This window comes from Homo sapiens, chromosome 2 (assembly GCF_000001405.40).
Source record: "Homo sapiens chromosome 2, GRCh38.p14 Primary Assembly".
NCBI lineage: Eukaryota > Metazoa > Chordata > Mammalia > Primates > Hominidae > Homo > Homo sapiens.
In genome coordinates, this window is record NC_000002.12 from 27,895,024 (window position 1) to 27,920,010 (window position 24,987).

Sequence of the window (24,987 nt, forward strand, 5' to 3'; positions counted from 1 at the left end):
TTCTGAATCTGATACCATTTGGTAAACTCTCTTAATGTGAATATTATAATAGCTAGCCAAAATGGGTCATTTCTCACAATGGGGTTGAAACAGCAAGATCTCACACCTAGAAATGTTGCATTAAAAAACAGATTTTTTTTTTCCTGAAACAAATTTAGATTTACCAAAAAGCTACAAAAATACTACAGGAAATTAGCATTGTTATAATATTGTTAATTGTTCTACAGGTCTTATTTGAATTTTGCCAGTCTTTCCATTAATGCCTTTTTTGTTCCAGGATCCAATCATCATGTCTCCTTAGTCTCCCCAACAGTGACAGTTCCTCAATTTTTCTTTGCCTATCATGACCTTGACACTTTTAAAGAGTACTGGCTACTTATTTTGTAAAATGTGCATCCACATGGGTTTGTCTAATGTTTTCTTTTCATTAGAGTGAAAAATATGTTTTTTTCCCAAGTGTAGTACAGATGTGTTGTTGTACCATCCTCAATGCATCAGATCAGGGAATATATGATATCCATATGCCTTTTTACTACTAAGTTAACTTTGATAACTTGGTTAAGTGATCACTATAAAGTTAACTGATTTTTCTCCTTGTAATTAGTTAAGTACTGTATTTTGCTGAGTGATGCTTTGAGACTTTGCCAATACCCGGTTTCTCATCATCCTTTTGTCCATTAATTTCAGCATCCATGGATGATTCTTGCCTATAACTATTACTACTCTGGTGCTTGTCTAAGTGTGCTTTTTCTCTTTTTCTCATTCCTCCCCGTTTATTAATTTGAATTCTACTGTAAAGAAACACTCTTCCTTCTCCTTCAGTTATTTATTTATTCAGTTATTTACTTATGCCAGTATGAATTTTTAGGTATGTATTTTCCTCTGTGGGTTATAAATTAAATATTATTATCATTTATTTTGTTGGTCAGTTGCTCCAGCTTTTTGTCATTGGGAGTGCTATCAAGTGGCTTTTGGGTCCTTTTGACATATCCCCATCATTTTTGAGTCCTTTCTTACTAGAAATGTTGCCTTTTTTTTTAAGATGGAGGAAATTTCACTGGACTCTGGGATTTGTGGGAAGCATAGGTATTGGACACTAGGGCAAGTTTGCAGGGGCCATGCTCAAGGTACCTTCTTGGATATGGCATCCACAAATGAAGCTGTTGATATGGACAAAGATGCAGCCAGGAATCTCACTGACCTGGTACAGGGCGTCCTGAAGAAGCCACCGTGGCTTGAGCAGGGGCAGCTAGCTTTAGAATGAGTGGGGCTCCTCAGGCACACACTGTACTACTATTGTCTAGTCTGGTCAGTATAGATAACAAAGATGATGGCTGGGGTAGGGGCAGCCTAGATTCCAGGTGGTAGAGTTGTTCCTTTCAAGGGCATCCACTTTTGCCATTTCCCATCTCTCTCCACTTAGGTGCACCTGGAATCACTGGGCCAGGGCCCCAGGCCCCAGTCTGGCAGCCAGATGTACCAATAGAAGCCTAGTCTCTGCAGAAACTCTTCTCTAAGAGTTAGATCCATCACACACTTGAACCCTACCTTGGTTGGGCTGGTTCCAGGTGGGATTAAGTTGAGCCAGCATTCAGGCTAGTGGCTAGGGTATGTCAAAGTTTCCCCTTCTTCCACTGGTAGGTCTCATTATCTATTGTGTCCACCTCCTCCATGAAGTTCTTGTACATCTTGTCATAGAGGATGCACACCATATTTTCCTCTTCACTAGGCTCCAGCAACTGGGCCAGCAGCTTGTGCCCAGCTGGGTCTGGAGCAGCTTGTGCCCAACTGGGTCCACATTGCTCAGCTGGGTCCGCCATTGCTTCCCAGGTGACAGGGAGCTCGTGGTCTCTGTGAAAGATCTCTGGTGATGGTCATATCAGTGTCTCTGTGGGTAGTACTTTTCACACATGTCCACCATGATGTCACATGAAGCTGATTTTTCAAGGTCCTCGGTCTGCACCCTCTCTGCATCCCGTAGTCTGGCAGGAGGCAAAGCAATGTGCATGTCATTGTCTTGTCACAGTGAATGGTGCCCTTGTGTGTCTCCATTCATGATGGTGCCATGAGGTTGCTGTGGGATCATTTGGGTAACAGGATGGACTCTGAGACAACCATGCAGTGCTGGGTTTGGAGGGGTGTTAGCAGTGGTGGCAGCAGCAGTAAAAGCAGAAATGTTGTATTCTTGATTCTCTTTCTGCTTTCTCCTTGTTAGACTGTTTTGCCTTTTGCCATCTACACACCTTGCTGTTGTTTGACCAAGCTAAAGACTTGGGTATAAGAATACTGAGTTAACGTTCTTTAGTGGTAAGATAAAAAACTAAGACACTTCTTTGGAATAGTAGGATGCTTTTGAAAACATCTGATATTATCTTCAATTTCATTAATCAAATACTTATGGAGCATTTACTATTTACTAGCCATTTTGCTAGTGTTAGGTTAGCTGCTTTTTTGTTGAGGCAAGAGGATTTGGTAGAAAGAACTCTGGTGGAGTTGATCAGAAGACAGTTTTAACTTTTTTTTTTTTCTTCTAAAAGTTAACTATACACATTAGGGGATTTATAAATCAACTCTCATCCTTAGATAAGCCAGGGATTGGAAAGTGACTTTTTAGGGTTTTTTTTTGTTGATTTTTACTGGTTTAGAATTTTTGCCATTTAGTCAAGCAGCAGGCCTGGTGCTCAGACAGACTTCCCCAGCTTATAAATGGTGGTAGGAAGTGGGGATTCTGAAATAGAGACTGTATATAGGATTCATTCAGTCTGAATTTCCACATTATTATAGACAATCTAGATAAAGATTGGAGCCTCCTAAATTACAAAATGCTTTCTTTAGATGGACTCCATCTGTAATTGAAGTCATCAAGATCAGATCTCAAGAGGGTATTTTCCAGTTTCCCTCACTGTAATTTTTGGCCTGCAGAAAGTAGAGTGATGTACTTCCTTTACTGTGCTCATTTCTTCTCAGTTTGTGGTTTTGACTTTGATTTCCTCTTTCTGGGATCTTTAAATCAGTATATTTTTCTTCTGGGTCTGAGAATAAAAAGATTTTCAAATGGATCACTGGATATTTCAGAGTAACTCTTCAGGTTTTCCCACACTTTCATGTTTCTTTCCTTCTTTGATTAAAAATAACATCTTTATGTCTGCATTGTGCTCATCTCTTTTTTTCTGTGTTTTTGAAGGTTTAAAACTGTTGGTCTTTTCATAAGTTCCTTTGGTTCATCAAGATTGTGCCTAATCCTATTTTCTTTTCCTTCCCACCTCAGGTCTTCTGGACCTAGCCTATCTTGCATTTTACTGCTAGGAACAAACACATTAAGGATTTTCTTCTTTTATTGGAATGGGGTGAGCTTGGAGAAAAGAAGGCATTTCAGATGTCCATTGATAGTCTTAAGTCTGTGTAGCCAGAGGCAGTTCCCATTTTCTCACTGGATCTCAATTTTTTATCCATAAAATGAACAATCAGATTAGATGACTGAGGTTTTTGCAGGTCAAAAGTCCTGCAAAAACAACTCAAATGTCCATCAGGTGATGAATGGATAAACAAATTTGGCATATCAAAAATAGAATATTATTTAACCATAAAAAGTAGTGAAGTACTGATTCATAGTACAACATGATGAACCTTGAAAACATTGTGCTAAGTGAGAGAAGCTCATTACAAAAGGTCACATAGTATGTGATTCCGTTTATGTGACGTGTCTAGAATAGGCTAATCCATAGAGACAGAAAGTAAATTAGTGGGTGCCAGAGGCTGGGGGAATCAGAAGTGACTGCTTGAGTGAGGGATTTCTTTTTGGAGTAACAAAAATGTTGTAAAATTAGATAGTGGTGAAGGTTGCATAGCTTTGGGAATAGATGAAGAATGATCAAATTGCACACTTCACAGTGATTTTATGGTATGTAAATTACATCTCAGTAAAGCTGTCATTAAAAAAAAAAAACCAAACAACCTGAGCTGGGCACAGTGGTACATGCTTGTAGTCCCAGCTACTTGGGAGGCTGAGACAGGTGGATCACTTGAGCCCAGGAGTTTGAGACCAGCCTAGGCAACATAGCTAGACCCCTTCTCTAAACAAAAATAAAGAAAAAAAATAAAACCAACCCATCAACCAGGAATGTTCATTGACCTGAATATATAGGACATAGAAATAAATCTTTCTTTTTTAGCATGTCACAGACATTCTTTTCAGAGGTAATGAAGACCTGACAGGGGCCTGATGGCTAGTGGACTGGTGACTGGTATATGTAAAGTGATATCAACCTGAAATTCTTACTCTTTCTATCAGTATCCTGAGAAACCAGTTACGTTTTTCAGCATAAAGTCTTGTTGCTTCTTTTTCACAGATTCCCTTTTGGGTGTTCTCAAATTCCTGAATGTTTAGTTGAAGATTTAAGTGCAAATAGTGGGATCTGATGACAAATTTGAAATGAATCCACTAGTCCTAGTGTTTTTTTTTTTTTTCGTGACAGAGTTTCGCTCTTGTTGCCCAGGCTGGAGGGCAATGGCGCGATCTTGGCTCCTCAACCTCTGCCTTCTGGGTTCAAGCGATTCTACTGCCTCAGCCTCCTGAGTAGCTACAGCGTCCGCCACCATGCCTGGCTAATTTTTTGTATTTTTAGTAGAGATGGGGTTTCATCATCTTGGCTAGGTTGGTGTCAAACTCCTGACCTCAGGTGATCTACCCACCTTGGCCTCCCAAAGTGCTGGGATTACAGGCGTGAGCCACTGTGCCTGGCCTAGTCCTAGCTTTTTCTGGATTAACTGCCTGAAAAATATGTGATATGGCATTTAATGACATTTAATATGTATGGAATTTACTTTCGTTAGCTTCAAAAAAGAAATAAAAATACCTCTACCCACATTCATAAAATGATGTGAAAGACCTTGTTAATCTGGAACATTATTGATGCCTTTTATGTAGTACTTGTCTGAAAGATTCAGGGAAGTTCTTTAGAAGTTCATTAACAATTCCTTCTTCAATCCTTCCATCAGCCGAAGTGTGAATTTCTCGTTTCTGTAACAAAACAATGACAGAGTTAGGGAAAAGAATGGCTTCTTTTTGGTGTGTCACTTTTGGCATTCCTTTCTTTTAGATCTTCAGCAGACACAGTTATGAGTGGTAGGATCTACATGTCTAATTTCTATTAACTCGAAGAGGTATACCCTATAGGACACAGTATAAATAAAAGTATAAAACAAGGAGACAATTTTTAAAGGTCACAAGAACCAGTCTTATTACATGTAGCCAGTTGGCCTTGAAGAGATAAGGTCTAAGTTATCTATATTCTAGATCTGGTTCATAGGAGAAATAGGCAAGAACCTAATCGAAGCAAGATTTCTTTTTTTTTTTTTTAAATAGCAATTCATATATATTTCTCTTATGTTATCTAGATTTTTCTACCTTACTTAATAAGACTGTGTATGTTTCTAAACTCCATTGCTAGACCCATCAGTATCTTAAGGGCCAAGTTCTTGTTTAATTTATGTTTATACCTCCTTAAGATCTATCTTCGTACTTTTCACATGTAATGTAGTAAGTAGGATTTGAATGGATGAATGAATGAGTTAGATGTTTTCCTTGAGAAACTACTTGTTTTGGGTATCAGAGTGGTTTGTTCTTGTGGTTTGGAAGGATTTTTATTGGCCTGATAGTGTATTGCTTACTTTCTGTTATGCATAATTCTTTTTAATGACATTCCCTGAAATGAGTTGACATTTTTGAAATTATAGTAGGCCGGGCGCGGTGGCTCACGCCTGTAATCCCAGCACTTTGGGAGGCCGAGGCGGGCATATCACAAGGTCAGGAGATCGAGGTCATCCTGGCTAACACGGTGAAACCCCGTCTCTACTAAAAATACAAAAAATTAGCCGGGCATGGTAGCGGGTGCCTATAGTCCCAGCTACTCGGGAGGCTGAGGCAGGAGAATGGCGTGAACCCGGGAGGTGGAGCTTGCAGTGAGCCGAGATTGCACCACTGCACTCCAGCCTGGGCGACAGAGTGAGACTCTGTCTCAAAAAAAAAAAAAAAAAAAAGGAAATTATAGTAAAGTGTATTATCTAATACTGGATTTACTCTTGCAGGTAAAATACAGACTGAGATCTGAAGGGACCAAATTATTAATTTTAGAGAATTATTCCATGAGCTTACTGTTTATTAGTTCTTTGCTCTGTGTTAATTTGATCACAAGCATGTGCTATTTGTAAGATGCCATATTTTGTCATTTTTAGTGATTTTTCTAATCTTGAAAATGTCTAAGTGTCTGTTCAGCATTCTGGAATGATGCCTGGCAAATACAACAGTGAGGAAAGCAGAGAGGGCTCACTGCAACCTGTGGCAGCTGAGCCTCAGTATCTTTTTTCAGCATATTGCAGTGACTCAACCTCACTGGCACATGGCTGTGTTTGGGGCATCTGCTGTGACATCTCATCCGCCCACAACTACCTATTGCATTTTTTTGTCCATGTTCTGAATTTCATTACTTAGTTAAAAATAGATACTCAGTGTAAGTACTTGATTACTAAATAGACAGAACACTTTTAAAGGATGAGTGCTGTAAGCTTTGAAGACTGATCTCAGTTTGGCTGCATGAGTCTCTCTAACTGGCAATCTGAATCTTCATTAGCCTTGTGTCTGGAAGGAAGCTGCTGCCCTGGGAGGCAATAGTTTAATTTTTGTCTATGGCCATACCACCTTGATTGCGCCCAATCTCGTCTGAAGATGGGCAGTTTTTAATAATTTAGATTTAGTTGTTCACTTAACTTTTCTGTACTTTTCCCTGATCTCATTCCCCTTTTTCCCCACGCCTGTCTTCATACTTTATGTATTCATTATACATAAATATATTCCTCAACAGTATTATTTTGCGTGTTTAAAAAGTTTGTACAAATGATATACTATATATATTCATCTATATCTTGCCCATTTTACTTAGTATAAAGTTAATGAGATTTATCTGTGTTGATATTTACAGGTTTGGTTCTTTCCTTTGTGCTGATATTTTGTATTCCATTGTGTGAATATGCCCTTAATTTTAAATTCATTCTTCTGCTGATTGACTGTTACACTGTTTAAATTATTTTTTTGACAAAGAATGCCACAGTGAACATTCTCTCACATGTGCACAAGAAAATATGTATGAGAATATTTTCTGGGACAGTTTTTTAAACTGAGTGTATTTACCCATTAGTGGTTGTAAAATCAATTGAGTGAGTCACCCAACATTAAAAAATGAATGAGAACAAAATGGAAACTCTCAAAATGTGTCACAGTAAGAATAAGCACTGTTTTGTGAATTTTCATTTCGGTTAAATAAGTAAGTATGTGTATACTGGGTCATAATGAAAATATGTGTGATGATCAAAACTTTGAAAGCTACCCATCAAAGGTATATTCCTAGAAATAGAATTACTAGCTCTTAAGATGTATACATCTTCTATTTTATTAGATATTGCCAGATTGAATCATTTTCCTTCCATCAGAAATGAGTTTCTACTATTCTGTAGCCTCACCAGTACTTGATATTGTCAAACTTATATTTTTGCCAAGCTGATGAGATGCGACCTGGTATCTCATTGTGGTGAAAAGTCTTTTAATATGCTTATTGGCAATTCAGATTTCTTCCTTTGGGATATCCTTTGTTCGTCTTTTAAGTGGATTGTTTGTATATTTCTATAGATTTTAAAGCATTCTTTGTGTATTTTGGATACTGATCTTTTGGTAATTACATGTATTACAAATATCTGCACAAAGTCTGTGGCATATATTCTTATTTTAGTGCCCCTGACATCCAAGAGTTTTGATTTTGATGAAGTTATATTCTACAGTATTTTCTTTTTTAGATTTGAATATATGTGCCTGTGTGCACGTGTGTGTGTTTGTGTGTGTGTGTGTGTGTGAGAGAGAGAGAGAGAGAGAGAAAGAGAGTTTTAAGAAATCTGGGCCTATCCAAAAGTCACACATCTTTCTTTACGAATTTTAAAGTTTTCCTGTTTCCTTTTTTGGTCTTTAAATGGGAATTTATTTTTTCTGTAATATGGAGTGAGATAGAGATATTGTCTCCCCCACCCCCCCCACCGTATGGATAATTGGTTGACCTAGCCTCATTTATTGAGAAGGCCATCCTTGCCCATGGATGTCAAGTTTATATCACACATGGGCCTGTTGCCAGGCTTTCTGTTTTGGTCAGTCAGCCTCACTGTCCTTGTGCCAGTTCCATACTTTCTTAACTATTACAGTCTTGTGAAATGTCATGATAGCCAGTAGGACAAATTCCCCCCTTCCATCTTGTTCTAATTCTTAAAAATTGTCTTGCTTAACCCTGTGTTCTACATACGTTTTTGTAACCTCATTTAAATAGTTGTATACTGTTTCATTAGGAAACATACCATAATTTAGTTAACAAAAAAACTTCTTTTTAATTAATTGAGAAAGAGAAATGAAGAGAGATTACCCTGATGAGAGGCAAATTGAGAATTGAAGGTTAGAGAAGCTCTCTCTGAGGAACTGAGATTTAAGTTGAATCATGAAATAGATGAATATACTAGTCCCCCCTTCTCATTAGGGGATATGTTCCAAGACCTCCCCTAGTAGATGCCTGAAACCTCTGATGGAACTCTGTTGCCGTCAGTCAGAACACGTTTATGTTGGTGTCTTCCACCCACAAATTTAATGCCTTTTCTGTTTCAACTGAGCACGTAGCATACGCTGTAGCTGTTATTTTTGCAATTTGAGGTGCAAAGCAAAACTAGCACAAATTTCTTTTTCCTTCTTCACAATTTCATGGATAGAAGATTTGTTCTTATGTTAGGTCTTAGCAACATCAGCATATTTTTTTTTAATTCCTTATTAAGTCAAGAACATTTACCTTTTTCCTTAAAGGAAGCACTTTATGGCTTGTCGTTAGTGTATCTGAATTGCCAGCATCACTACTCTTGTGCTTTCCCGAAGCACTTTATTCAGTAAAATAAGGATTACTTGAAGTCAAGCACTGCTGTACCAAGGCAGTTGATCTGATCACCAAGACAGCGACTAAGTGACTAACGGGTGGGTAGTGTAGACAGTTATGCTGGACAGAGGGATGAGTCATGTCCTAGGCGGGACAGAGTTGGAAGGTGTGAGAACAATCTCAGAACAGCATGCAATTTAAAACTTATGAATTGTTTCTGGAATTTTCCATTTAGTATTTTCAGACCAAACATTGCGTTTTCTTGACCAAGGGTCAGGGTAGGCCAAGGGTAACTGAAATCACAGAAAGCAAAACCATAGATAAGGGGGGACTACTATACATCAAAAGTCTTAAATTTGCATACTTCTTGGCCCAGTAATTAAAATTTTGCTGATACATAGGAATATATGCATCCATATGGGCACATTTTATTTTATGGTCCCAGAGAAAGACCTCCAGATAATCAATCTGGCAGTCCTCCAATAAAAAGGCCAGAATGCTGCCTGATAACACTACAGTGAAGCTCAGTCGTTGACAACACCCATGTATAAAGGGCTTCAAATTTTCATGTTAGAGATGCATTCTTTAACAGAAATGCACAGCCAGGAATCATCAGTCTGAGGAAAGCCATCAACATGAAAGACAGAGAGCAAAACAGAGACAATGCAAGGTACAGAAGAATTTTTTTAAAGCTATAATTAATATCCTTATAAAAATAAGAGAAAATACTGCATTCATGAAACTATGACAATATGTCTGTTGGGCCAACTTCTGTACCTGCCCAAATTATCAATCAAATTTAAAACTAGACATTTTCAGACTTTCAAGAACTCAAAAAATTTATATCCTTTTCTCCCTTTCTTAGGATGCTAGTGGAATATATGCTCCAACAAAGCAAGAAGGTAAAACAAGAAAATAAGTGATTCAATACAGGAAGGGAAGACCTAAAATAATAGCTATATGGCAGACCTAGAAAGCAGTCAATACAATTAAAGCAGTTCTTCCATACTGCGTGCTTACTGTTAACTTTATTACTAGATGTTTTATCATTTAGCTGCTATTGTGTAGGAATTCAGTTGTTTATTGGCATATATGAAAGCAAACACAGAAGTTAGATTGAGGTAGAATCAGAAGATACATGGGAAAATTTACTCAATAGTTCAACAATCTTTTATCAGAACACTTAAGATGACTTTGGAGAAAAGAAAAATAGCCAGGACCAGAAGAAATAAAATAAAGCAAGATTTGGCTGGGGAGGGTCAGGTGTGGGCAGAAGCTGGAAGTCAGATTGGATAGGGGTTGGAACACAGGAAGCCATCTTTAGAGGGGTTGTGTGGCAGGATAATGTGATGGTAAGCATGTGGGTTTTTCAGTCAGTGAGGTCTGAGTTTGTATCCTAACTCTGCTTACAGCTTAATGACCTTTGATAGGTCTCATAACCTTTCGGTGCTTCAGTTTTCTCTTAAATGGGGATGGCATTAATGACCTTATTAAGTAGTTATGGGGGTGAAATGAGATAATTCATATAAAGCACTTACAGTAGTGCTTGGTCATAATGTTCACGTTATGGTGGGTGATATTATTGTATGTTGTTATATATAATAAATAATATGTGGTATGATATATTATTATTTCACTGTGTTATTGTTGTCACATTGTTATTTTAGAATCAGGGAGTCTATAAAGAGTGTCCATGCAAGCAGTATAACAGGAACTATTGAATAAGACCCAGGCAAGCAGAGCAAAACAGGAGCTCACTCTCATCTAACAAAACTCAGAGAAATCATGTAGCAGAAATGGATGGGAGATCCAGAGATTTTTGATTCTGAGACAGCCTTCTTTCCTTGTTCATTGCTTTTTGCAAATCTACGGAGGTAGGAGAAAAATCACCATGGCTTCCTCTGACCCTGCAGGTGGATGAAACTTAGAATATTTGATTAGGTTGAAAAATGAATGGGCATGAAGATGCCAGCTGTTTTAGCAGATAGAACTTAAGAGTTTTTAACAGTCATTAGAGATTGAACACTGATTGTCTTGAGCGGATACATGCAACAGTTGTTAACAGAGGGGTGAAGAAGCCTCTTAAGATAGATAATGCAGGGAGTTCTGTCTGAGGATGAAGGGCATAAGCGGTGGGCTGTTGAACTCTGCTAGTGTGGGCAGTGTGTGGGGTCATAGATGTGCAAGAAGTTTGGCTGGAACTTTGGGTGTTTATCTAGGTACCAGAACATCTGGAAACTCAGTGAACAGTGCATGGTGTTGATATTTTAAGTGTTTTACTGAGGGCAGGATGTCCATCAGGAAGTATTCCTTGGGATTGCTAACCAGAAGGAAACACAGGTTCCTCTTACTCCTCATATCCCAGCCCATATTCTTTTCTACCCTGGGTAGTTAGCTGCCTGTCTAGACTTTTTGTGATCATAATAGTATAATACAGTAATATAAATAATTTTAATTAAACAGTTTATGAGCCTTTTAACATTACAAAGTGCTCTTGCATATGGTGTTTTATGGCCTTTTGTATTTTGTGCTTAAGATTGTAAGTGGTGGTGTTGGCCTTAACCCAATGAAGTCTGAAATCACTTTGGGAACTTTGGCTAGGCTTCCAGAGTCTGGGGTAGTAAGTGCCAGGATAAATTGGGGTCTGAGATTTTAGGTGGTTCTGATCTTGGGCTTTTCATGCCCTCCAATGACTTCACTTTAGGGTGACTTCATTTGGTATGGAGGTTGATGTAGGGGAAGAAGTGAAGGGAGGTAGCCAGTCTAATGTGTAAAGAAAAGTGGGTAGAAAATTCATCTAGTCTATTCCTGGCTCCACTTTACATTGTTCAAAGGAAAAAAAAAATCACTTCCACTGTTGTCTTTTGTCCCCTCTATTGTGTACAATTTTTAGATAGTATTTTTGGATTAGTTTTTGTTTTATTAGGATGACAAATTTACAAAATGCTTTGAGTTTGGAAGACAGGTGAGGGTTTTTTTTAGTACAGGTTAATATGCATATACATTTGTTTTAGGGCTCCAAATTAATTATTCTTATACCATCACTCATATGTTAAAAGTCTCCTTATGCTTGCATAGAAATGTAGAACAGCCTCTTTTCAGCTGCCATGTTACTTGAATAGTTTTATTTTTTGGTGCCGTGTTGCTTGAGAATTAATTTTGTAATCTTCCATCTCAGGGCCACATTTCCTCAGTAATTTGGTTATCTTTCTAATGGCATGTTATGAAAGTTAAGTTTATCCCACTGACCTTGCTTCTCTTGACTTTTTGAAAAATACATCTTTTTTTTTTTTGTTTTCCGAGAAGATTTTTTATCTCAACCTTTGCTCTTGCCAATTTATTGATAACAAACCTTGAATCAAGTGGAAGTTTTGGAGAGCATTTTGATGTTCCGCTTTTAAGTAGGTGTAATGCCCTCAGAATGATTTTTTTTCATCTGTGGACTCCTGAATTTTTCATTTAAAAAACATTATTTTAAAATTTTTGTGATTCAGTAATTAACATGTTGGGTCAATTTTGGGCTTGGCACATTATGTTTTATAATGTGGTAAAATATACATAACATAAATTTACAATTTTCATTATTTTTAAGTGTACACATCTTTGGCATTAAGTACATCACAAATGTGGCATTTGGAGACGTATATCTCCAAAACTTTTTTCATCTTGCAAGCTGAAACTCTCTACCATTAAACAACAACTTCCATTTCTCTTTTCCCCCAGCTACTGGCAGCCACCATTCTGGTATCTGTCTCTGAATGTGACTACTTTAGGTACCTCACTTGATGTAAGTGAGTCATGCAGTATTTACCCTTTTGTGACTGGCTTTCTTCACTTAGCATAATATCTTCAAGGTTCATCCGTGTTGTAGTGTCAGAATTTACTTTTAAAGGCTAGATAGTATTTCAATGTATGTATATATCGCACTTTGTTTATCCATTCATCTATTGATAGACACTTGGGTTGCTTCTATCTTTGGCTACTGTGAATAATGCTATTAATATGGGTGTACAAATACCTGTTTAAAGTCCCTGTTTTCAGTTTTTTGCGTATATACCCAGAAGTAGAATTGCTAGATCATATGATAATTCTGTTTAATTTTTTGAGGAACCGCTATACTGTTTTCTTTCTGTTTTTAAAAATAATTTCAACTTTTATTTTAGATTCAGTGGATACATATGCAAGTTTGTTACAAGGGTATATTGTGTGATGCTGAGGTTTGGGGTAGAATTGAACCTGTCACATGGGTAGTGAGTATAGTACTCAATAGGTAGGTTCTCTTTTTTTAAAAACAATTTTTTTTTTTGAGCTATGGTCTCACGGGTCTCACTCTGTCATCCAGTTTGGAGTGCAGTGATATGACCACAGCTCACTGCAGCCTCAACCTCCTGGGCTCAAGCAATCCTCTCACATCAAGTCTCCTGAGTAGCTGGGACTAAAGCACATACTACCACACCTGGCTAATTTTTTGTATTTTTTTTCGAAATGGGGTTGCGCCATGTTGCCCAGGCTGGTCTCGAACTCTTGGACTCAAGCCATCCACCCACCTTGGCCTCTCAAAGTGCTGGATTACAGGCGTGAGCCTCTGTGCTCGGCCCCAGTAGGTAGTTTTTCAACCCTTGGCTCCCTCCTTTCCTCCCCTCTCTTGGAGTCCCTAGTGTCTATTGTTCCCATGTTTAGGTCCATGTCTACCCAGTGTTTAGCTTCCACTTATAAGTGAGAACATGCAGTATTTGATTTTTTGTTTCTGTGTTAATTCACTTAGGATAATGGCCTGCAGCTGCATCTATGTTGCTGCAAAGGATGTGATTTCCTTCTTTTTTTATGGCTGTGTGCTATACTGTTGTCCACAGAGGCTGCACTGTTTTATATTCCCACCAGCAAGACACAAGGGTTTTAATTTCTCCACATCCTCCTCAACACCAACACTTATTACTTTCTGTTTTTCTTTGTTTTTGTTTTTGTTTTCATAGTAGTAATCCTAATGGGTGTGTAGTGGTATCTCACAGTGGTTTTGGTTTGTATTTCCCTAATGTTTACTGATGTTCAGCATCTTTTCTTTATTATTATTGTTATTATTTTTTTTGAGACAGAGTCTCACTCTGTCACCCAGGCTGGAGTGCAGTGGGGCAATCACAGCTCACTGTGCAGCCTCCACCTCCTGGGCTCAAGCAATCCTCCCACCTCAGCCTCTTGAGTAGCTGGGACCACAGGCATGTGCCACCATACCTGGGTGATTTGTTTATTTTTTGTAGAGATAGGGTCTTGCTATGTCACCCAGATTGATCTCGAACTCCTGGGCTCAAGCAGTCCTCCCACTTTGGCCTCTTAAAGTGCTGGGATTACAGGCTTGAGCATCTTTTCATGTACTTCTTGGCCATTTATATATCTTCTTTGGAGAAATGTCTGTTCAAGTCTTTTGCCCATTAAAAAAGTTTTTTTTTGGTATTCATTGTATGATTTCTTTTTGGGTTCTGAATATCAGTTCCGTCTCAGATAGATGTATGATTTGCAAGTATCCCATCCCATTCCATAGGTTGCCTTTTTACTCTGTTGATAATGTCTTTTAATGCGCAAAAGTTTCACTTGACAAAATTTGAGGTACTTCTTGTATGTTCTCCAGTTGGTTAAATTTCTCTAGCCTGCCCCTCTGTTAGCATCATCTTTCTGTGCTTTCTTCCCTAGAAAGGTCAGAAAAGGCTCTGGTGAAATTGAGCCAGACCTTTGTATCACTAGTATCTCCTTCTGTGGCAAAGGACACCCATTTACCAATGCACCTGCTTCTCCCATAGTAGAAGCCTTTTGACTGAGAATTAGAGACTTATAAAATATCACTCATTGTTATGATTATGGTAGTAGTGTATAGGACATGCTATGACATTGGTTAACATAAGCAGCTCTATATTGGCAGGAAGGACAGTAATATAACAATAGCTGTTATCATTAATAATTTTTCATTGTAATGTAAGTGCTTTGAAACGTTTTGTTGCATATAATCCTTCTAATAATCCCTTAAGGCAGATGAGGTAACTGAAACTCAAGTAAGTTGCGTGACTTGTTCAGGGTTGCATAGCTAAGCCATTCCATCTATAACAGTTCTCCCTTGTTCTTTTCTGTATCAGAATCTGTCCTATTGCCAATTTCAAGCTTTTATTTATTGTTTGTTTGTTAGGCCTGTCTCCCTTAGTAGAGGAGACAAGGCCATTATCTGGCATAACAGCTGTGTCTCCACCACCTAGCATAGGACCTGGCACAATAAGTATAAAACTGTGGATCTGACAGTAATGTCATGGTTCCAGGTTCAGGGGTGTATCACAGTTGTCTCCTAGGTTGAAAAAAGTCATTAGAAAGCATCAGAGAAACAAAAAAGGTTAGTTGTTGCTACTTCCCTCCCCTAAACATTAAAGGTTTAAACTAATTGATTTTTAAATTTAAAAACTTTTTATTGAGGTATAGTATACATTCAGAAAAGTACACTGAATCATAAGTAAGTATATAATGCATTGAATTTTCACAAGCTGAACAGACTTGTGTAACTAGCACCCAAAACCCAGAACATTATCAGCACCTTGTACGTCCTCTTTGTGCTCCCATCTAGTCACTGACCCCTCTTCCCATGAAAGGATAACTGCTATCCTGACTTCTAACAAAATAGGTTAATATACTTTTAAAAATATATATATAAATGGAATTTATACTGCACAAAATGGCATTTTGTGTGAGGCTTCGTTTGTTCAGCGTTATGTTTGTGATATTCTATATTGTTGCAGATAGTTGTAGATCACCCATTTTTCTGGCTGAGCAATGAGAGTTCCATTGTGTAACATGCCACGGTTTATCTACTGTACTTTTGAAGGGCATTTGGGTAGTTCCTAATTGATATGGTTTGGGTGTGTTTCCACCCAAATCTCTTCTTGAATTGTAGTTTCCATAATCCCCACCTGTCATGGGAGGGACCCGGTGGAAGGTAATTGAATCCTGGGGGTGGTTACCCCCGTGCTGCTGTTCTTGTGATAGTGAGTTCTCACACAATCTGATGATTTTATAAGGGGCTTTTCCCCCTTTTGCTCGGTACTTCTCCTTGCTGCCACCACGTGAAGAAGGATGTGTTTGTTTCCCCTTCTGCTGTGATTGTAAGTTCCTTGAGGCCTCCCCAGCCATGCTGAACTGTGAGTCAATTAAACCTCTTTCTTTTATAAACTACCCAGTCTTGGACATGTCTTTATTAGTAGTGTGGGAACAGACTAATACACTAGTATTATGAATAGTGCCATTTTGAATAGTGCCATTGTGAACATTCTATTACATGTCTTTTTGCAAATGTATAATATGTATACATGTTTGAACCCTCTGGATTTTAAGTTAAGAACTATTCATAAATAGAATAAATATTTTAAAATTCTTTCAGTTCCATATTGTATGTAAGCAAAGGAGAAGGTTAGGGAGGGAAGAAAGAAAGGGGTGGATTTGAAGGGAAAGAAGGAAGACAGAGAAAGGACAATAAGGTAGGAAGAGGAAATCAGGGGAGAAGAAAAGATTATAGAAAAGGAAGGGTAGAGAAAAATGGAGGCAAGCGTGCAGCTGTGGGCTCCTAAATAAAATGAGATACTGAAACTAAATCCTTATCACAATCTTGAGCATGGACTTCAAGGTATCATTACTTCTTGAAATGCAAATCTCTCTTCAAGCCTCATCAGTTCCTCTCAGAAGCTGTCTGACCTGTAGTTCATCCATTTCTCTCTCTCAGTACTGTCAGCACTCCATCTCTTTTCCTAACCAGTCCTAACTAGACTCTTCATAACTGTTCTAGATCTGATCTGTTTTCCACTAGCAGCCATTTATATGATTTGAAACAAATCTAATAATAAAAAATAAAAACCAGATCATGTTGAGATAGAATAGGAATAGGACGTGCCTCCTCCAAGTATTTTTCCTTTTCTTCTTCTTTTCACAAAACCTACACCACTACTTTGCCTACACTATACCCACTAACCCCCAAGCTTTTAGCCACTCAAAGAAAAGAGCCATTCTTCTGTGCTGTCACATTGTTTAACCATGCCTAATTCCAGAAACTGGCCTTAGGAGATACAAACATTGAACCAAGGTTGTGGAGTCTCAGTCTCCCACCTTGGGAAAGAATGCTGAACAATTACTAGGGTATGGAAAGGGAATACAATTTCATTGTTGGAACTGGGGCAGAAATTAAACACATATAGTTATTTTAAGTCTGTCACTGATTTGCTTTTTGACCTACATTCGCAGACTCCTTATTCTTTTTTTTTTTCCATTATTAAAGTTATTGAGGATTTGGAAGCTTGAATGACTTTGCAAATCTTAACTAAAACTAGTGATATAATTCTTGGCATTGTGGCATAATTTCTTACAGCACAGCACAATGTATTTAATTTTTAAAGAATAGTATTTATCATGTTTTTGCATCATAAAAGTATCTTTTGGAATTGTCATTGGCAGGTTTTTATAAATATGTTTATTATATCTATCTTTGTATGTATTTACTTAAGAAATTAAAAGAGTATGTAAGTCAGAAAAGGATTCTGAGAACCAATATAGTTCAAATGGAAGATTGGAATTATAGGTAGATTGGCAGGAATTCAGGACGCGAGAGACCATTACTTTAGATGATCTCTTTAGAAGGCCTGGGATTTAAAACTGAGCCATACTACCTTTAGAAGTTCCAAAGGATAGACTGCCACAGATTATGCCAGCAGTCATGTTGCAAGATTGGATGACCCCTTCAAACTGGCTTGTCAAATTTATTAATATCTTCTTGCAAGGAATGAATCCAAGAATATGTTGGAGCTACATCTGGATGGAAATGAAATAGTGTTACAGGTTCTGAGCAGTCAGACAGATAACCTGATGATAAATTTTGGGCAGTGAACTATATTGATGTTGCTGTCAACTTAGTAGAGATATCAAAAGAACACTTGGAAAGAAATAAATTAATGTTTGTTACTGTTGTGGGAAAACCAAGATGAATAGGGAGATTAGAAGACATCAAAGTAAAGCAGCTTATCTTCATATCCAAGGACCTTCAGCATCTAAAGATTCTTCAGAAAAGTGTTTTTCAAACTCTTTGATGGAAGAACAGATTAAAAAAAATGTAGCTGGTCACCAGCTGATACTTTTGTAAAATATAAAAATGAATTGCTAGAAGAGTGAAATGAAAAAGACATGAAATACAAGGCTTGACTCTTTTATTAGTAGATTCATCAGATTTATTCTTACACATTGCTGTAAAAGTTTTAAAATTCTTATCTCATTTTCTGTACTTTTCTTATTATGGATTAGTAATAATTTACAGACCAGAACTGGTCCATGGACCTGCTCTCTTTGAATAGCACGATTCTAGAAAGATTTCTGCATTCTAACAGTCCAGGAGTTGGCCTTCTTAAGAATTCTATCTCAGAGGGGCAACAGTAGTATGTTATTGATAAGTAATTCCTAACTACATGTTAGATAATTGGAGATACTGTTTTTTAAAACAAATATGGTAGATGGTTATACAAATAAAAACTATTCTGAAGATAACTCAAATTTTCAGTTAGTTGGATCAGTAAAAAATCAGAGGACATTGTTACTTTGTCCATGCTTTACATATATATACACACACCAAAGAATGGCTTTTGGGTAAGGAGAGAATTTACACGTATATTTTATACGTATAAAATGCACATAAAATCTACACACACCAAAGAATGGCTTTTGGGCAAGGAGAGAATGTTTATAATACAATCTTCTTTTGTAAACACTCTTATTTCTGTACATTTTAAAGATCACCTTTTTTTGATGTTTGCTTCTTAAAGCTGTAATGTAGTTATATTTTCTAAGTTGAACGTCTTAAACACTATGCCAGTGATTTGGGTAACACTTCAGTTTTTCTCTAATTGTAACTGATGAAGATTTTTAATGACTATGATAGGCACATTGCCAATTTTTGTTACATTCTCTTGTTACAAGAAAATATCATTTACCATTTCAACTTTGTTTCATGTGGTTCATGGTAGAATTCATTTCTTATTAAAAACTTAATAAAGAACTAGTGTTAGCTTTAGTAGTCATATTAAAGTATAACATTGTTTTAATCTACACCAGAATTATAGAATTTCAGGAATGGAAAGCATTACACTCTAATGTTAACCATATGATCTATGAACCCCTTCTAATGCTTCTCTGCCAAGTGACTGTTCAGGCTGTCTGTAAGTATCTCTAGTCATGTGGAAGCTCCATGAGTCCCAACACAGCTCCCTGGGCAGCTAATACTGTTACATAGTGCTTTTCTACATTGACCTGAAACCCTTTGCCTTGCCACTTCTAGCTCTTGTCACAATATAGAACAAGCTTAATTGATCCTGCATGTTAGTGAAGATAGCTATCATGTTTGATAGTTCTTTCTTCTGTAGGCTAACATGTAGCCTTTGCTGCTATCATGGATTTGTGTCCTTCCCTGTCTTTTTTGGCTTCTTCTGAATGTGATCCAGTTAGTCTCTATACTTCTTAAAGTGTAACACCTAGAACTGAATGAAGTGTTCAAGGAATAGTTTTGACCAAGTGTAGGGTTGAGTATTTTTATCTTCATTTTCCAGGAAGCTACCTTCTGTGAGATTGTACTGGACAGAGCTGTGGGTTACAAACCACTGATAGCTGTGACCTTTAGGTGTGTTATGAAATCATTTTAGAGGGCCTTGATTTACATAAAAAACAGAAGAGAATGGAACAAAAGTACACGTCATGTAATAAAGCTAAGTATCATTGCTTAACAATTTTGTTTTCAATTTATATATGAACACGTACACAGATATATGTACACATATGCATATATAATATTACTCTGTACAGATATCTCTACTGATGGTGATATAAAATGGTGATATAAAAATTTCTTATTATGTGTCAAAAAAGTTTGAAAGCCTCTGGCCTAGACTAGATGCTTCCTGTCCTTGTTTCTCTGATGGCTCTGTCTAGTCTCTGCTTGCTCTGCAGCCAATTTACATGCCCCATCTTGATATTCTTCTCTTTGTTTCCCTGTAAATTTCTGCTGTGTAACATGAGAGGCATGATGGGCTCCATTAGATTTGCTTTAGGACACTGGAAAATTATTTTACTGCTCTGATTAAGTCTTTTCATGGTTGGACCCCCATGAGAATTTTTGTCTGTGGAATGAAGAAATGAAGTAGCCCGGTGAAGAGGTGAGGAGGTCAATTGAGGTTTTTAGCTCAGAAAATTATTGCCCCAGTGAAGTAAAGGGTTTAAGGAAAATAGTGTTTGAGATAGACTCTCCTCCTCCTTATTTTTTGGTTTTGCAATTTGTACTTTTGAATACTCGTGACAGCAAGTGCTCTCTGTGTGCCAGGAACTGTTCTAAATACTTTATTTATGTGCACCAAGTCAGTGGATCCTCATAACAGCTCTCTGGAGCATGACTGTTATCCTTATTTTACAAATGAGAACACTGAAGACGAGAGAGATTATTTAACTTGCACAAGGCTTTAGAATTTATAGTGTATAACAGTAGCATCTCAAGCGCAATCTAAGAACGAAATCCTTTCAAACTACCTAACAACCAAAAATACGTGGATGGCACACTTATCCCATTACCCTGTAGTTCCAGATATGCTCATATAGCAGATGCTAAGTCTTTTCATAATCATTTAAATATAAGAATTTGAAGATATAAAAAACGTTTTTTTTCTATCTTTAGAAAGCACTTTTCAGTAACAGGAAAGGGAATCCTTTAATGACACTTCAGAATCTATTAATTCTTCCTTTTCCTTTCTTCCCCACTCTTCTTTATCTAATTCTCTATTTTTGGCTCTACCCTGTCATCAGTTTCCTACTACAATTCTCTCTCTCTACTTTTTCATTTTCTTTTTGTTTCTTCTCCCCATCTCCCTATCTCCCCATCTCCACTGGTTTTCCATCTATTCTTTCCTTTACTCTGCTTTTGTGCTTTCCATATTCATTCAAATTTATTTTTTTAGATAGGTTAAGCATGTACTGAGCACCAAGTAAGTGTGAGGCATTGTTGAGATACAAACATAAATAAAGCATGTAGCATGAGAGCTAATCAGGGTGAGATCAAAGCTCTGCTAGTACATTCCCTTGAGAATCAGAGCTATTGGAGCATGCCAAGGTAAATACTCCTTAGGCCTTCCCTATATGGATCAGGAATGTCTATGGGATTTAGATAAATAGTATGCAAATAATATAAAATATGAGCCCCAGAGTTCAGAGAATAGGCAGCATTTAGGACATGTTTTGGATCAAGGCATAAAAACAGTGGCCTAAAAAGTTTACAGGAATATTTTCATTGGAAAATTAGTAGTGTTTAGTATAAAAATTACTTCTTATAAAATAACACTGTACATTGAATGTATGAAAATGGTATTTAAGTTGGCCTTGGCCCTGGGGATCTCTTATATAACATTTACTAATATGAGTAATAATTACCAGCATTCCCACAGTTGAAATAGCAAACAGTCCAGGACATTTCTGTAACTTGTTTGACCTTGTCCACTCCAGCTCTACCTTGCTCACTTGCAGTATTTATGAAATAGCTTTCAGGTACTTCCTGTGTGCCAGCAGGTATGCTGCTGGACACTGAGGGATCCAGGGTTTAATGCATTCTCTTTCTTCTTAGAGTTTTCAGTCTAGCAGTGCCTGTCTCTTAGGTTTTGCCCTTACTTAAAGACAATTGCCCATAACTATTTCTCCTTCCCCTCACTTGGCCAGATCCTATGCATTCTTAGAGGCCAGTTGTATTCCAGTGAACCTTCCTTGGTTACCCAAGCTAAAAGTGGTTTCTCTGCTCTCTTCGCTCCTATTGTGTTTATTTTCTTTAACCACTAATTTGGCAATTAATCATGTTAATTGCTTTGTGACTTGTATCTATTGTTGTCTTGACTTGTTATTTAAATTGTGTTGTGTGACTTTCATAGTTTGATTTTTGTCTTCTGATTACAAGTTCTTGAGAATAGAGAATCCTTTGTGTAACTCTTATAGCAATAATCACTCCAAACTTTTTTTTTTTTTTTTTTTTTTGTGACAGAGGCTTGCTCTGTTGCCAGGCTGGAGTGCAGTGGCACGATCTCGGCTCACTGCAACTTCCGCCTCCTGGGTTCAAGCGATTTTCCTGCCTCAGCCTCCCAAGTGGCTGGGGCTACAGGCACGTGCCACCACGCGCAGCTAATTTTTGTATTTTTAGTAGAGATGGGGTTTCACCACGTTGGCCAGGATGGTCTTGATCTCTTGACCTCATGATTTGCCCGCCTCATCCTCCCAAAATGGTGGAATTATAGGCGTGAGCCACCACGCCCGGCCCAAAGTGTTTTTTTAAATTATGCACCCTGTCTTAGTCAGTTTGGGTTGCCATAACAAAATACCTTAGACTTGGTAATTTATAAACAGCAGAAGTTTATTGCTCACAGTTCTGATGGCTAGAAAGTCCAGGATCATGGCTCTGGTAGATTGTGTCTGGTGAGGGCCCGTTCCTCATAGATGATGCCTTCTCTGTGTCCTTGCATGGCAGAAGGGAAAAGGGGCAGACGAGCTCCCTCAGGCCTCTTTTATAAGGACGCTAATCCTATTTATGAGGCCTCCGTTTTATGACCTAGTCAGCTCTCAAAGGCCCTACCTCTTAATACCAACACATTGGGGATTAGATTCCAATAAGAATTTTGAGGGGCCACTAACATTCAGTCTATAGCACACCCCAAATTATTTTATTGTGTACCTCTGCTACATGCATATTTACTTATAAAAATATATTTATAGATTATAAAACATACATAAAATATAAGCTAAAAATGATATAAAGATAAAATTAACAACACTGTAAAAATAATTTATATTACTTATATTGTGGTATTTTCACCTGCCATACCTGAAAAAGAAATCTGAAAAAATATGTAGATACTAATGGAAGAAATGCTTTTGTCGTAAATTAAGTGTCCAGAAATGTGAGGGTCTGTCTCTGAACTCTTTATTCTGTTTTACTGGTTTGTCTATTTTTGTACCAACATGAGTATTTTAATTACTAACATTTATAGTAAATTTTGAAATCCAGTATTGCAAATTTCCTACCAAAGTTTTTCTTACTGTGGTAAAATACATGTAACATAAATTTACTATTTTAATCATTTTTAAGCATACAGTTCTGTGGCATTAAGTATATTTACATTGTAGTACAGTCATTACAACTATCCATCGGAAACTCTGTACCCATTAAACTATAGCTTCCTATTTCCCTCTCTCCTCAGCCCCTTACAACTACTGTTCTACTTTCTCTGACTGTGAATTTGACTACTTTAGATACCTCATGTAAGTGGAATCATATAGTCTTTGTCCTTTTTTGACCAGCTTATTTCACTTAGCATAAGGTCCTCAAGATGTATCCATGTTGTAGCATGTGTCAAAATTTCCTTCCTTTTTAAGGCTGGATAATATGCCATTCCATTGTGTGTGTGTGTGTGTATATGTATAGTATTGTATATATATATAATGTATAGTACTACATTTTGTTTATCCATTCATCCATGGATGGACACTTGGATTGCTTCTACCTTTTGTTTATTGTAAATAATCCTATCAAGTTTTTGTTCTTCAAGATCATCTGATCTATTCTAGGTTCTTGGCATTCCATTTGTATTTTAGAATCTGCCTTTCAGATTGCAGATCAATTTAGGGAGAACTTACAACTTTTCATTATGAGTCTTTTTTTTTCTCACTCCGTGGCTCAGGCTGGAGAGCAGTGATGTGATGATGGCTCACTGCAGTCTTGACCTCCCTGGCTCAGGCGATCCTCCCACCTCAGACTCCCAAGTAGCTGGTACTACAGGCACATGCCACCATGCCCACTAACTTTTTGGTATTTTTTGTAGAGACAGGGTTTCTCCATGTTGCCCAGGCTGGTCTTAAACTTTTGAGCTCAAGTGATCCACCTGACTTGGCCTTCTAACGTGCTAAGATTACAGGCATGAGCCACTGTGCCCGGCCTCATTATGAGTCTTTTAATCCATGAACATGATATCTCTGTTCATTTATTTGTTTACTTATTTTCTTCTTAATAATAGCTTTCTGCATAGAGATCTTGCACATCTATTGTAACATTTATTTCTATATATTTGATCATTTGATATTATTTTAGATGGCATCTTTCTAAAAGTTTTATTTTCTGACAGTTGATGGTATATGGAAATACAATAGACTTCTATGTATGCTCTAACAACTTTGCTAAACCCACATATTCATTCCAATAGTGCATATGAACATTTACAAAATTTTCTATGTTCACAGTCACATTTTCTGCAAAAAAGTAAGTTCTGTTTCTTCTTTTCCAATTTTTATACTCCTTATTTCCTCCATCCTGGCTAAGACCTCCAGTACAATGTTGAATTAAAGTGATGAGAGTTGGTATTCTTGTCTCATCCTCTATCTCAAAGAAAAAAATTTTAATGTTTTGTTTTTAAGTATGATGTTGCTTTAAGTTTTTTGTAGATAGCTTTGATCACATTAAGGAAGTTCCCTTTTATCCCAGTTTATAGAGAGCTTTTAAAATTATGAATGGATGTTTAATTTCATCAAACACTTGTACTTATTAAGATAATCCTATCAATTTCCTCTTATTCTCTTAGCAGAGTTAATTAAATGCACATATTAGAAAAGAAGAAAGGTTGAAAATTAATAAGCTAAGCATCTATCTGAAAAAGTTAAAGGATTTTTTCCCGATCCTAGTTAGCTGTTAAAAACTGTATGTGAGCCCATCATTCCTACTGAAACCATATTGTAATTTAAACCACATTTTTGTTATAGGGACACCTACCAACATTTAAAAATACTTCCTACTCTAAAGTAGAGTTGAAGTTTATCATTTATAAATGGAGATATGGCATAGAAGCTGAGAATAACAGTTGACGCCACATGAACTGGCAAACACATTTTCTTGAATATTTTAATTTTGTAATTTTTAAAACATTCTGGGCTGAGTCACTTATTTTGGTGATGGCATTTTGGAATC

The 24,987-nt window shown here is 37.2% G+C and overlaps 1 protein-coding gene and 1 pseudogene across 14 annotated transcripts in view, besides 1 other annotated feature; one reads left to right on the forward strand and one right to left on the reverse strand.

Annotated features, from left to right (window-relative positions):
* The window catches only part of BABAM2 (BRISC and BRCA1 A complex member 2), a 450,193-nt gene that overhangs the window by 6,315 nt on the left and 418,891 nt on the right, over nt 1–24,987 (forward strand). The gene's annotated exons all lie outside the window — the stretch shown is intronic.
* On the reverse strand, nt 1,695–2,176 carry MYG1P1 (MYG1 pseudogene 1; annotated as a pseudogene).
* Nucleotides 12,565–12,765: a silencer, noted in NCBI's record as "peak3637 fragment used in MPRA reporter construct". NCBI's record gives its function as "represses an SCP1 promoter by STARR-seq MPRAs in K562 erythroleukemia cells {active_cell/tissue: K562}" and the evidence as "EXISTENCE:reporter gene assay evidence [ECO:0000049][PMID:32103011]".